Raw genomic sequence first — 14,657 nt, forward strand, 5'->3', positions numbered from 1 at the left:
GATGGTTTAAAAGTGTGGCACTTCTCCCTTCTCACTGTGTCTCCTGCCACCATGTAAGATGTGCCTTGCTTCCTCTTCACCTTCTGCCATGATTGTAAGTTTCCTGAGGCCTTTCTGGCCATGATGAACTGTAATTCAGTTAAACCTCTTTTCTTTATAAATCACCCAGTCTCAGGTAGTTCTTTATAGCAGTGTGAAAACGGACTAATACACCCTCACAGCCTCAAGACCTTGAGCAGTGTCTGATGCTTACATAATGAGTACTCCTCAAATATTTGTTCAATAAATGCATTATAAGAATCTCAGTTATCCTGAGGCAAGAGAAAAGAAGAGGGTACAAACTTTTCTTTTTATTTTTTTGAGACAGAGTTTAACTCTTGTCACCCAGGCTGGAGTGCAGTGGTGCGATCTTGGCTCACTGCAACCTCTGCTCCCAGGTTCAAGCAATTTTCCTGCCTCAGCCTCCCAAGTAGCTGGGACTATAGGTGCACACCACCACGCCCAGCTAATTTTTGTATTTTTAGTAGAGACAGGGTTTCACCATATTGGCCAGGCTGGTCTCGAACTCCTGACCTCAGGTGATCCACCTGTTTCAGCCTCCCAAAGTGCTGGGATTACAGGGGGATACAAATTTTTCCTCCTTGGCTATCAGTTGTACCACTTGCCACATCTCAGTTTTTTCCACATTTTGATACCAGCTGCTCTGGTTCTTCCAGTTTTAGGGTCTCTTGATCAAGATATTGTGGTTTCCTCTCTAGAAACAGGCTCCATAACATTCTTCTTCTTCTCTCTCTCTCTAATTAAGCTATTGCTGTATTAGCACTTGTAAGCTACCCAGTGACTGCAGGACATGACTGCCTCACCTTCTAGTCTGTGCCCAAGGTGAAATGGATGTGGTAGTGATTCTTCCACAGACCAAGTGGATCCAGTGAGTTGCCTATAGGACATCCAGAAGACTCACTGACGGAGTGTTGTGGGAAAGAGCAGAAAGCTAGAAACCACCTCTCATTGGATCTTTAGTCCAGAGAGGAATCCAGCACGCAAAATGCAGAAAAATATGATTTGTCCTCACGTGGACATGAAGCCAAGGCATTCTGGAGAGAGTCAGGGATATGGTCAGAGAGCTTAGGTGGCCAGGAAAGAGAGCTCTACATGTGTTTCCACTTATGGAATCAAGGAACTCAATACAAAGTCCCAACAGAATCAACTCATTCCTCTCTATTTTCCCATACCCCGTCAGACCCCTAGTCCAAGTCACCATCATCTCTTCCCTGCATCCCTGCCACAGCCCCTAACCTACGCCACAAGGAACTCACCCTTGGCTTCCTCTCCAGAGCACACTTTCCTGACAATGAATCTTCTAATTCTAGCATCTTTTACAAACCAGGTATCCTGAGAATTTCCCAAGTCATCATGTCTTTGTTCCTTTTTCTTAACAGTTCCTACCTCAATTTATCCCTTTTTCTCGGGCATTTTACTATAAAACAGCAAGAGAAAACCAGGCTACACCTTCAATACTTTACTTGGAAAGCTAAGCCAAATATCCAAGTTCAAACAAATTCTGCTTCCCATATAACTGTAAGACACAATTCCACAGTTTCATTCCACTGTATGACAAGGATCTTTTTCCTCCAGTTTCCCTAAACATGGTCCTCATTTCTTTCTCAGCCCTCACCAACAACACATTATGAAAACCTACACTTCTGCCAACCTTCTACAATGACTTTGATATTCTCTAAAATGAAACACATTTTCTTTACCATGCTCTTCACTTCCAAGTCCTCACCAGCAGCGCCTTTAACATCCCTACTTCTACTAACAGTCTTTCTAAGGCAAGCTAGGCTTTTCCTATCATGCTTCTCAAAATTCTTCCACATGCTGCCCAACACCCAATTCAAAAGCCACTTCCACATTGTTTAGGTATCTGTTACAGTAGCACACCATTTCCAGGTACCAAAATCTGTATTCGTGTACTACTGCTGTTGTAACAGATGACTGCAGACTTTGTGGCCTGAAATTATACAAAATTATTCTTTTTTTCTGACGAAGTCTCACGCTGTAGCCCAGGCTGGAGTGCAGTGGCACAATCTTAGCTTACTGCAATCTCTACCTCCCGGGTTCAAGTGATTCTCCTGCCCCAGCTTCCCAAGTAGTTGGGTCTATAGGCGTGCACCACCACACCTGGCTAATTTTTGTATATTTAGTACATACAGGGTTTCACCATGTTGGCCAGGCTAGTCTCAAACTCCTGACCTCAAGTGATCCACCCACCTTGGCCTCCCAAAGTGCTGGAATTACAGGCATGAGCCCAGCCTCAAAACTACACAAAATTATTATCTTATGGTTCTGGAAGTTCCAAATCAAGGTGTCAGCAGAGCTGCATTCCTTCTGGAGGCTCTAGAGTGAGAATGTTTTCTTGGCTTCTCCAGCTTCTACAAGCCACCTGCATTCTTTGGCTCATCCTTATCCTCAGATCAAGTAATGGAGCTCTTTAAATCTCAATCTCTCTCTCTCACACACACACACACACATACACACACACATACACACACACCCCTTTGCTTCCACTGTGGCATCTCCTTCTCTGATTCTGCTTTTGACCCTCTGCCTCTCTCTTATAAAGACGCTACTGATTATATTGGACCTATTTAGATAATCAAGGATAATCTCTCCATCTCAAGATCCATAACTTAATCACAATCTGCAAAATCCCTTTTACCATGAAAGCTTCTGGGGATGAGGCTATGGGCATCCTTGGGGGCTATGACTCAGCCTACCACATTCACCAACCCCCTATTATGGGCCAAGCATTGGACGACATATGGTTGCACAGTGGTAAAAAAACTGGATATGCTCTCTGCTCTCAAGAAATGTATGGTCTAGTGGAAGAGTCAGATATCAATCCCAAAGTCATACAAATAATCACCCCAATACAATCATTACAAGTTGAGATGAGGGCACTGAAAGCCTGGGAAACATGGGAGTCCCAAGGGTCTCTTTGAGGAAGTAGCATCCAATCTGAGGTTGGCAGGGCAGGGTGATAAGGCACCCCTGGATGGGGAATCAGAAGAAGACCTTCCAGGCAGAGGCATCAGCAAGTGCAAAGGCCCTGAAGAAAAAGAGTTTGGGGGATGAGGGAGGTGGAAACGGCAAAACAAGATGAGGCTGTAAAGATGAGAAGGACCAGATCCCTTGGGAACTTCTGGAGCATGGTGGGGACTTTAGCTTTTATTCAAAACATAACAGGAAGAGGTTGAAGAGGTTTTTTGCTTAATAAAAAATTTTTTGTTGGTTTTTGTTTGTTTGTTTGTTTGCTTGTTTTTGAGATAGGGTGTCACTCTGTAGCCCAGGCTGGAGTGCAGTGACGTGATCACAGATCACTTCAGCTCCTCCTGTGCTCAAGTGATCCTCCCACCTCAGCCTCCCAAAGTGCTGGGATTACAGTGCTGGGGCTGTGAGTCACCATGCCCCACCGGGTTGAGGAGTTTTTATAGCAGGTGACTGATGTGATCACTCTGCTCTGGAGAACAAATTGTGTCTGGGAAACAAATGGGGATGAGAAAAAACAGGAACACATATATTCAGTGAAGAGAAGACAGTGGCCTAAACTGGGCACATGGTTGTTAAAATAGATAGGACTGCATAGATGTAAGATAGGTCTTGGACCAAAAATGACTCATAGGACTTGATGGAATTTGGTGTGTGATTCAAAGGTCTGGGATATGGCCATAGGGGTAGCTGGCATATGAGGAATGTAGCAAATTAATGGAAATGAGAAATTAAAGGGATTAAGATGCCAGGAAGGGGAATGGGCCATCCACATGCACCTTAAAATAAATGGGAAAACAGCACATGGGAGGGAAGAGAGGAGGTAAGTGCTAAAATCTACAGTGGATAATGGGGCCAGAGGGACTGGGGTGTCTTCCAATGATGGTTAGAGGAAGAGAGAGCACAGACTCCTGGTCTGAGTAGCAGAGAGCAGATGCTATGCAAGGAGTCTCATGTGGAAACAGTACTGGGCAGGGTGAAGGGCATCAGTCCCACTCCAGCCCTGGATGAGGGACAGAGAAAATGAGCAGCTTCCACTTTAAAGGCTGGCAGAGAAATGACCTCACCTAAGACCAGGAGGAGCAGGAAACCCTTAGGGAAGATAAAGTGTAGTGCGGTAATATTGGTTGCAAAGGTTATTGGGGGCAGATTTGAGTGGGAGGGTCTACTGTGGGTCGAGTTAAGAGAGAAAATGCAGAGCATCAAGAGAGTGAAGGTGATGGGGACAATGTGGAAACAGTGACAAGGGGAATTTAACTGGGTGCTGGGTTGCCAATGCTTTAAGTCCCAGTGGTGTATTCCCTGGGGGATGTTGGGTGCTTAGGCCTCTCTGTATTTACCAGTGGGCTGGAAGGGAACCCCAGCATGCTTTTCCTCAAGGTCTTCTATGATTAGGGAATGAGCAAGTGAGTCTGAGCCCAGGAGTATGGGGTTGTGTACAAGTGCTCTTACCCCCATGTTCATCAGGTCTTCTTTCGTGATTCTGCTTAAATGTCACCTCCCAATAAAGCCTTTCCTAATTTTTCTGACTTGTCTTTTCCACATACACAGAACCTTGTGCAGACTTCTACTGTAGCACCTACTATATGCACATTATTGCCTTTGCTATTTATTTATTTATTTATTTATTCATTGAGATGGAGTCTCGCTCTGTCACCCAGGCTGGAGTACAGTGGTGCAATCTCAGCTCACTGTAGCCTCCACCTCCCAGGTTCAAGCAATTATCTGCCTCAGCCTGCCCAGTAGCTGGGATTGCAGGTGCATGCCACCACACCCAGCTAATTTTTGTATGTTTAGTAGAAACAGGGTTTCACCATGTTGGTCAGGCTAGTCTCGAACTCCTGGCCTCAAGTGATCTGCCTGCCTTGGCCTCCCAAAGTGCTGGGATTACAGGCATGAGCCACTGCACCCAGCCACCTTTGCTTTTTATGTATATCTCCCTAAATAGAATTGTTTCTCAAGAGTGAGAATAATGCTTGAATTATTTCTGTTTTCCTGTTACTGGGTACAAAGTCTGGTAGCCTTGGTAGGAGCTACACAAATGTCTAATTAAGTAAAACTTAGCCATTGTTTGCTGGTCATTATTGTACTATATAAATGGTAGATTTGAAGAAAAGTTTAGACACTCTTCATATAATGGTTACTATGAATCATTATAATGTGTATACTATGAAGTATACACATTACATTTAACTTGCTTTCTTAATAGATAATTTTCAATTAGTTAAATTAAATACAACACTTCGGAAATACTGTCAAAAATATGTTACTGGTCTTAACTAAAATTTGCTTAAATGGCCGGGTGCAGTGGCTCACGCCTGTAATCCCAACACTTTGGGAGGCTGAGGCAGGTGGACCACCTGAGGTCAGGAGTTTGAGATCAGCCTGGCCAGCATGGCAAAACTCCGTCACTACTAAAAATACAAAAACTAGCCAAGCATGGTGGCAGGCATCTGTAATCCCAGCTACTCGGGAGGCTGAGGAGAATCGCTTGAACCTGGGAGGCTGGAGATTGCAGTGAGCTGAGATCACACCACTTCACTCCAGTCTGGGCGACAGAGCAAGACTCTGTCTCAAAAAATAATAAAACTAAAAATAATAAAATCAAATGTGCATAGGTACCAGTATTTCAGATTTTCTTGATAATGACTCTGGTGTCAAGCTAATTTCATTAAAAGGCTTCAATTTTTTTCATTCAATCTTGATTATAATAAACTCACGTGTCAAAAATCAAATATATAAATATATACAGTGAAAAGGCTCACGGTAACTTTCTTTTTATCTCTACCTGAGAGCTTACTGGTTCTTTCCTCAATTGTTTTCTTTTAATGTCATTATTTTTTACGCCTAATGACTATGCAAATGACTTCCACTCTTTGTAATCACAAACAATGCTGCAATAAATAATCTTGTTGATAAGTCATTTCACATGTGTACAAGTTAATATAAGGCACTTTTAATTAAACTAAATATTAACAATGATGTTGAATCATTAAATCTATTGCAAACTATGCAGTTACGTTAATATGGTTAAAACAATCCCTCATTTCAAGCTTCGAAGTGTTGTCCTTGAATATCAAGTGGTAGACTAAAGTACTCCTGTACATACTGTTCTAAGAACATTGATCAAAAGGAGGGAAGGTGCCAGTTAACCAGCAAATACAACATTAACACACTCAGTTATTAAGGGGCATAAACTTTATTGACATCCTACATCTATATATTCATGGAACTACTGACAATATTAATAAAATATTTGCTCTAATGTTATTGAATTTTTAAAAGCCAGTTTAGTTAATATCATGCTTTATAACCAAGTAATGGTTATATGTTATATGATTAATGTTATATGATTTCTTTTAAATAAGCATAAAGAATCATGGAAAACTATCAGCAGAGCCAACCATGAATAGTTGATGTGTATAACCAAAAGAAAAAGGAAATCAGTTATCAGGAGACTTTCAAAAGTGAATATAGTAGGTGCCAGAACTCTCCACAGGGAATTTGAGAAGTCCTATTTCTCGAGGCATTTAAATGGAATAGAACTGAAAGCTAGAAAAATAAACTCAAAAGAACAATCCTTCTTCAGCAGAAGTAAAAGCCCAAAATGACCTAATAGATTTTTTCTTTCAAAATTCTAGGATTCAATGAACACTGCTCTAAGTACCTCTTTTGTTGGATTTGTTTGTCAGGGTATGCATTCATTAGTTTGCTTAAAAACTGCATTGTTTGCAACAAAGAAAAACATGTTGAACAGTATTGGAATTGGTTAAGATTCCCAAACACATGACTTTGTTCTATATTCTAAGACCATTCCAAGGATGTTTCCCTTTGCATACTGCCTTAATCTGAAAACTAGTGATTGAACAGGCTGGCATTACTGAGTTTGTTCATTACGATTTTTGTGGTGTTCAGTTTATATTCCTATGTAGCATCTTTTTGTATGAATTTTCCTACAATCAATTTAAAATCAACCAGCTATGTGAGTTTTCCAGTAGACATATATAGCAGCTATATGAGTTTGGCAATGGGCATTAAGCTACATGAGTTTGCAGCTATATGAGTCTGGCAATAGGCATTAATAGCAGCTATATGTGTTTGGCAATAGGCATTAAGACCGTGTAAATACTTTACTGTTCTCTGTGTTTTTATAATCCTCTGTCTTTTGGAAGTCAATTAAAGCTTTAACTTCAAAGAAATCCAAGTGTGGAAAGATGTATGTGCCATTCAAAAACAGAGAAGTATAAAACAGAATCAATTAATCTGAATCTTGAAAGTCCAGAAATAGGCTCTCGATTTAACTCAACCAATATCTGTAAAGCACCAACAATGGTGCAAGGTTCCTGCCATGGTAGAAGAAAAGGTAAGTGCAGAGGAGTTGCAGCATATGATCAATATCTTTTTGGGGCAAGGTTCATGCTACAACAGAGGAAAAGGTAAAAAGCACAGTCGAATTAAAGCATTGATCAGTATCTTATTTCCTGACTTCAAAATGTAAATCTATGCATACCTTCCCACCTTTCGCCCATGTTCATTCCACTGCAAAAACATGATCACTGTTCTCACAAGGTGTCTGGGGAGTGGGCTGCATGGTGAGCAACATGGTGCAAATTATAGATAGGATGGAGGGAGTTAAAAACCAGTAAATGCAAATATAAGAACACATTTTGAGATAGATCAAATCCTCTCTTATGACTAGAGAAATGCATGCACATAGAAGAGGTGTAGGTAGATTTTAAACGGTCTCATGCACTAAACTAAACTCAGGAGACAATGGAGAAGCCATAGATTTTGCGTGGTGGAATGACATCGAACAGCACATAATGAAAATTAAGCTTCAGACCAGTTGGGAGACTTTTGGAATAATTCAAGCGAGAAGTAATGAGAGCATAAACCAGTATGCAGGGCAATGGGAAAGAGAGAACCTATAGATTCAGAGAAGACAGAGTCCACAGGACGTGGTACCTGCTTGAATATGTGGAATAAGAGAATAAGAAAGAAGTAAAAGATGGCTGGCTGGGCATGTAATCCCAGTAGTTTGGGAGGCCAAGGCGGGCGGATCACTTGAGGTCAAGAGTTCTAGACCAGCCTGGCCAACATGGAGAAACCCCGTCTCTACTAAAAATACAAAAATACAAAGCCAAGCGTGGTCGTGGGTGTCTGTAATCCCAGCTACTCAGGAGGCTGAGGCAGGAGAATTGCTTGAACCCGGGAGGCAGAGGTTGCAGTGAGCCAAAATCACACCACTGCACTCCAGCGTGGGTGACAGAACAAGACTCCGCCTCAAAAAAAAAAAAAAAAGATGGCTGGACTTGGGCCAAATATACACCCTTGTTACAATCAGCTGTGGCTAAGGTGGAGTCACCTGCAAAGAACATGGCCATACTGGCCTTCTCCTTTGACAGGTACAACAGGTAGGGGAAGTTATCTAAGTGGGAAGTAGGAAGGCTAGGCACCCCAAACTCCTACACTCCACTAAGAAATTGCATATTAACCTTGGCTAAGAAAACACCCACACACACTTCCAAACTAGTTGAAGATCGAAGAAATTAGGGTGCATATGGTATGAACCGAGTTCTATTCTGTAACTATACACCTTAGATCTTGATGGGATGAAACAGAGAAGAAAGTGATAACTTATGTGCTGTGAACAAACAAACCATTGGTTGTTTATCTCTTGAACTAAAAGTGGAGATTTTCAATATTCAAATGGCAGCGTGAAGCTTCTGCTTATATAGTTTCATATCTCAGCTGACTGCAAAGGCAAGAGCCAATAGCCCTCCACTGCTCTGAATAACTAAACCATTTCAGTCTTTTCTACCTGTCTTCCATGCTATATGCACTCTATTGTCCTGGCTTTAATAACCAATAATTTAGATATAAAACTTTGTGTCTATATGTGTTTGCACATTTTGCAAAAGATTGGCCATACTTTTCATAAGATTTACAAACTGGCCCAGTGCAGTGACGGATGCCTGTAATCCCAGCACTTTGGAGGCCAAGGTGGGTGGATCACTGGAGCCCAGGAGTTCAAGACCAGCCAGTGCAACATGGAGAAACCCCATCTCTACAAAAAATACAAAAATTCACCGGGCGTGGTGGCACATGCCTGTGGTCCCAGCTACTCAGGGAGCTGAGGCAGGAAGATCACTTGAGCCCAGGAGGTTGAAGCTGAAGTGAGCCATGATTGTACCACTGCACTCCAGCCTAGGTGACAGAATGAGACCCTATCTGGAAAAAAAAAAAAAAAAAAAAAAAAATTTACAAAGTGGTGTCAGACCCAAGAAAGCCTAGAACCTGGAGAGATCAATAGCACAATAGACTAGGAGTCTGTCTACTTTCTCATTTTGCTCTTTTATTTGTATTATTTATTTATTCTTAAGCAATTCTAGTAAGTTTTCTGATGCTTTCCTTAGAAGAATGTTTTCAGTTAAAGTAGTTTGAGGCCGGGAGCGGTGGCTCACGCCTGTAATCCCAGCACCTTGGGTGGCCGAGGCGGGCAGATCACGAGGTCAGGAGATCAAGACCTTCCTGGCTAACATGGTGAAACCCCGTCTCTACAAAAAATACAAAAAATTAGCCGGGCGTGGTGGCGGGCGCCTGTAGTCCCAGCTACTCAGGAAGCTGAGGCAGGAGAATGGCGTGAACCCAGGAGGCGGAGCTTGCAGTGAGCCGAGATCGCACCACTGTACTCCAGCCTGGGTGACAGAGCAAGACTCCGTCTCAACAAAAGAAAAAAAAAAAAGTAGTTTGCATGGCATTTAGAAAATGGAAAGCAAAAGCACCAATTAAGCAAGGAAGTCTTGCCTCAAACCTGCATGTGTTTCTTCTATAAACACCAGCACTATTCTTATAAGTGTACAGAGCACTCACCGACACTGAAAACCATGGAACCCTGAGTCATGTATTATGCTTCCCCATGTAGACTTCGCAGCTGTCTTTTAACTCTACCTTTTATCTTCAAAGTTCAAGGAAACATTTATTATGATTTCAAATTCCTGAACTCACATCTAGTCCTAAAGTCAAAACAATATAACTTGGTATCTAAATCAACTGAAATGAAATGAAATGCACTTGGCAAAATCACCCTTTTATGTAGTGGTGGAATGCTAACAACTGCCCTGTGACCATCCTGTGCAAATCCACCCTTGGCCTCATCCCAGGATATACCCAAACTTCGTCTCAACTGTGTCTCTTTGTCAGTCACGTTAAGAGACAGCTGTGGAATGTTTGGTCTAGAATATCCCAACAGGTGCTCCTTCCGTCTCAACTTCTATGGAGTCAAATAGAATTTGATCTGTAATCCTATGTCCCAGGCTTCCTAAGTCTTCCTAAAGCAGATATCCATTTATAGTCAAAACAGCAAAAACAGTTCTCACACTGAGGGATAAACCGTAAATGCAATTGATGAAACATTCAAATCTACACACCGAAATAAAGAACTGACAAATGAATTTGTTCTTTTTAGATTAAAGACTATTCTTAATGGAACTAGCTGAGTTTTGCAAGTATTTCACAACTTTCAATAAGAAAGAGCCATATGTTTTTCAGTATGACTTCAGTTTATTACTTGTAATTTCCTCTATTTTTTTCTTTATTGGTCTTCCCTGTTTCCATTCTTCCATTTTCCTGTATTTTTGGGACATAACTGTCTCTTTCTTTTAGAGTTTGTTTTTCCCATTAATTACTGAACACAAGAAAAATGTTTTGCAAAATAGTCTTTCCCACCAAAAAGGTATAACAGTAGAAAAACGTTTATGTGACATGCTATGCTGTATTCATAAGGTAATCTAATTTCCAAGCTATTTTAAGGATATGAGTACTCAATTTTTAGGGGAAAGATAATTTAGCTTTGTGGACTTTAGAGCACAAATTATAAGCATAGTTGAAACTGATACCTGAACCTGGTGTTCCAGAAAAGACAGATTCTCCTTTGCGTTCACCATTGACATTGTGAGTCACTGACAAGGTCTTATGATGAAACTGTTTACCAATATTTGCAAAGTCATGTTTATGAATAAAAGCACCTAAATGCTTAATTTTGAAACATTTAAAAAATGTGAGTTGCACCTCACATTTATTTCTTGGCTGAACTGCATACAATCCCATTGCAGTGGCCTTAGTTGAATGGACAGAGGCTCAGGAAAGGCCAACAGTAGGAACATTTACCATATGTTAGGTGAAATGTATAGACCAGTTGGACAGCTGTTAAGGGGATAATGTTACAATACAAAAGCTGCCTATATTTTTGACAGTAAAATGAGCAGATCAGCCATAGTTTCCTCCTGTGCTCAAAAAGAATGATAGCACATGCCTGTAATCCCAGCACTTTGGGAGGCCGAGATGGGCAGATCGCTTGAGGCCAGGAGTTCCAGACCAGCCTGGCCAACATGGCAAAACTCCGTCTTTACAAAAAAATACGAAAATTAGCTGGGCATGGTGGTAATCCCAGCTTCTCAGGAGGCTGAGGCACAAGAATTGCTTGAACCTAGGAGGCAGAGGTTGCAGTGAGTAGAGATCACTCTGCGGCACTCCAGCCTGAACAACACAGTGAGATTCTGTCAAAAAAAAGAAAAGAAAAAAGAATGATAGCATCATATAGAAAGTAGAGGATAGCTGGCACAATTATGTCTATCATGGAAGGTCCCAGATTCTCACTCTCCAGTATAGCAACCAAACCTTCCTGAGCATAAGGCTGATCATGCCACTGGGTTTCCCTGGGGTGGGCATCTGTTATTTAAAGAAACTGTGGTTACCAACACTAAAGGGAAATAAAGAAAGTTCTTTATTTTCCAACTTCCTATACCAGTTGAGAAGAGGCCATTTAAAGAAGCTGGCAACCTGAAACCCCAAAAGATGTAACTAATACAAAGGCTCAACATAGCTGCCATTTAGAAACAATCTTTCATTTATGCACAGGAATAATTTACTCATAAGCCCAGCCCTCTCAGTTAGGTTAATAACACCACTATCAGTTTTCCAGCTGTTTACTTCCCTAGCTTTATTTCTAGACATGAGAAATAAGGAACAAAATATATAATTAGGAAAACAATTGGAATGTCAGCCTACGGACAAAACTGAGACAAAATTTATATAAGTAGAGAGTATATTGAGGTCAAATTTGAGGACTGCAACCAACGAAACACCAAATCAAGTTGCCCTGAATATATACAGCAGTTACAAGTGGGTTTTTAAAAGAAAAAAGAGGCAGTTTCTAAGTTGAGAAGAATTTATATTAAAATAACATAAACTATATAAACTATTGATAGGCTAAACATTGTTTTTTTGTATCACAAATTCCAGGAACATAATGAGTGAGGCAGTTAGTCAGGAACAAAATGTCTTTAAATAATTACTCCTGCGCATGCGTACGGGGGGACGTGACTGAAGTCTCACACTCCTATCTCTCTGGGCCTGATAAATTGTGTAGCCTTCACAAAGCTCAGATCGCTCTGCGCTATTTTTCTTTTTTCAGGGAGTTGCACAGCTACTGACAGAAAGCACATCTTGGTTTTAGTCCATAGTACAAAACTCAATTGTGATCGAATGTTTTCAACTTCCTTTCATAATAAGGTTTTAAACTCATTTCAAATAATTAGATCTGGTTCTAATGAGCTGAAAAGCAAGAGAAATTCTTGCGTAAAAAAGGAAAAATATTTTTCCCCTTTTCTCTCTGTAGTTCTGAAATCCAGTGAAATTACTCATTACTGAAACTTATCAGATGAAAATATTGGCCAGCATTAAATTCTTTTCCTCCCCAACCCCCACCTCTTTTTTTCCTTTTTCTAACCACCACCCTTTTGTTAGGCCAGCTTAACTAGCTTTACATCTCTGAGCCTAGCCTGAGGGGCCACATCCTGTGTCTGGAATGTAAAACCTCTCTCCCCACTAGGCCTCCCGTCTTCCCTCCACACACACACACACACACACACACACACACACACACACACACACGGACTTCCCTTGCCTCCAATCCCATTTACATGTGTATCATTTTTAAATCCCCATCTAAATTTATTAAGTCATAATACTCACTTACCATTTTTGTACACATGCTACTCAGTGTATATCCTATGTTTCTTATCCAAGTTGCCCATTCTGCATGTGTCTGTCTTAAAATACAAGCTCATGCATGACTTAAGCCCGGAGAATTTGCTGAGGACAAAGGCAATCAAGATGCCATGTGCAAATAACATTTTTTTAAAAAATCAAGCTTGTGATAGCAATACATATTTAAGAGATAAGTGGAAAGATGTTTGAAATATTGTGATAAAACTAACTTAATGGAACCTTCCATACTTCTTCGATCATACCTAGAATACAATCATTTCTTTCTTAATCTTAGGAAATATCAGGAAACAGAAAAGAGACTACTTGTAGATATCTTACCTAGTTCCCCATGTTATAAAAGTATCTTGTGGAAGGGACAGGGGTTTTTGGACCTACAAAAACGCGTAATTAACCACAACTGCACATGGACAGGAAAAAGCTGGAAAAGCAAGACTGTTCATTCTTAGTTTTCTCCTTTTACTTACTAAAGCTATAATCAACTAAAGTGTGTTTTTCATCTGAAATGAAACAAGCATGAGGAAGCCAGAAATAGAACCTCTAACTATAGAAGAAAAGTTGTGTGATCTCTGTTGAATACAAAAACGCATAGTTTCCACTCGGTTACTGTTTAATTGTAGTGAAAGTTTTTGTTTGGCAACAAAGGCGCTATTTACATATTATTTCTTCTAAGTGAAACTATGGTCTGGGATGGGTTGTAGATAAGAGCAGTTGAGAACCACGCTTCATCTCCCTCCTTAGAAACTCTGAAACGAGGCTTTATTCCTACCAGAAGTTCAGATTGCATTATGGTCATCTCAATTCCAAAATGTTAGATGGCAAGAATATCTGCCCATCCTTCACTTTCCTTGGAAAAAGTTGCTCTTCGGGTTTTATATGCGATTGCAGTTTTCCAGTGTGTGAAACTAGGAAAACAAAACACTCAACGGTGTACATCCCTACACCTAAATAGTCAGAAATAATAGGCAGCTAGGCTAATTATCCTTGATTAGCAAGATCAGAGCCATTAGGGTGCTCACTGGTTTAACAAATGAATGCCCTTAGGCGTCTATCATTTGTAACTCCTAGAAGCTTTAATTTCCACAAGAAACAAAATAAGAGGGGCCTTCTGCTTTTAACAGTGAAAAGATCGTTCTCCCTCCCCTCTCCACCCGGGTCAACTCTTCCAGCCGCTCCCTCCTGCATCACGAACACACGCTGCAGGAAAGCGCATTTACAGCCCGGGACATCCCCAGACCTCCTCTCCAAAATTCCCCACCTCCTGTGCATAGGAGAAACTGAGAGAAGCCCTCACTTCCTTTCCAAACTTCACAAGCAGGGGAGGGAGCTGTAGCAGACTTTCACCTCCGTTCCCAAAAGCGAATGTGAAAAAGTCCGAGAAGGCACGTCCTGCGAGTGGAGGTTAAACCGAAATCTGAACAGAATGCACGGTCCCCGCAAACTACGATTGATAAAGAAGATACTGAGACGTTTGCGGGGGATATAAGCCATGGTTGTCTCGCCTTCCTCCCCTCCCTGCCAACTATGTTTCTTGGAGAAAT

The 14,657-nt window shown here is 41.1% G+C and overlaps 1 protein-coding gene across 13 annotated transcripts in view, besides 1 other annotated feature; it reads right to left on the minus strand.

Annotated features, from left to right (window-relative positions):
• The window catches only part of BCAT1 (branched chain amino acid transaminase 1), a 139,317-nt gene that overhangs the window by 124,187 nt on the left and 473 nt on the right, over positions 1 to 14,657 (minus strand). The gene's annotated exons all lie outside the window — the stretch shown is intronic.
• Positions 8,725 to 8,894: a silencer, noted in NCBI's record as "silent region_4292". NCBI's record gives its function as "represses an Ori minimal core promoter by ATAC-STARR-seq in GM12878 lymphoblastoid cells {active_cell/tissue: GM12878}" and the evidence as "EXISTENCE:reporter gene assay evidence [ECO:0000049][PMID:35858748]".

This window comes from Homo sapiens, chromosome 12 (genome assembly GCF_000001405.40).
Source record: "Homo sapiens chromosome 12, GRCh38.p14 Primary Assembly".
Taxonomy (NCBI): Eukaryota; Metazoa; Chordata; class Mammalia; order Primates; family Hominidae; genus Homo; species Homo sapiens.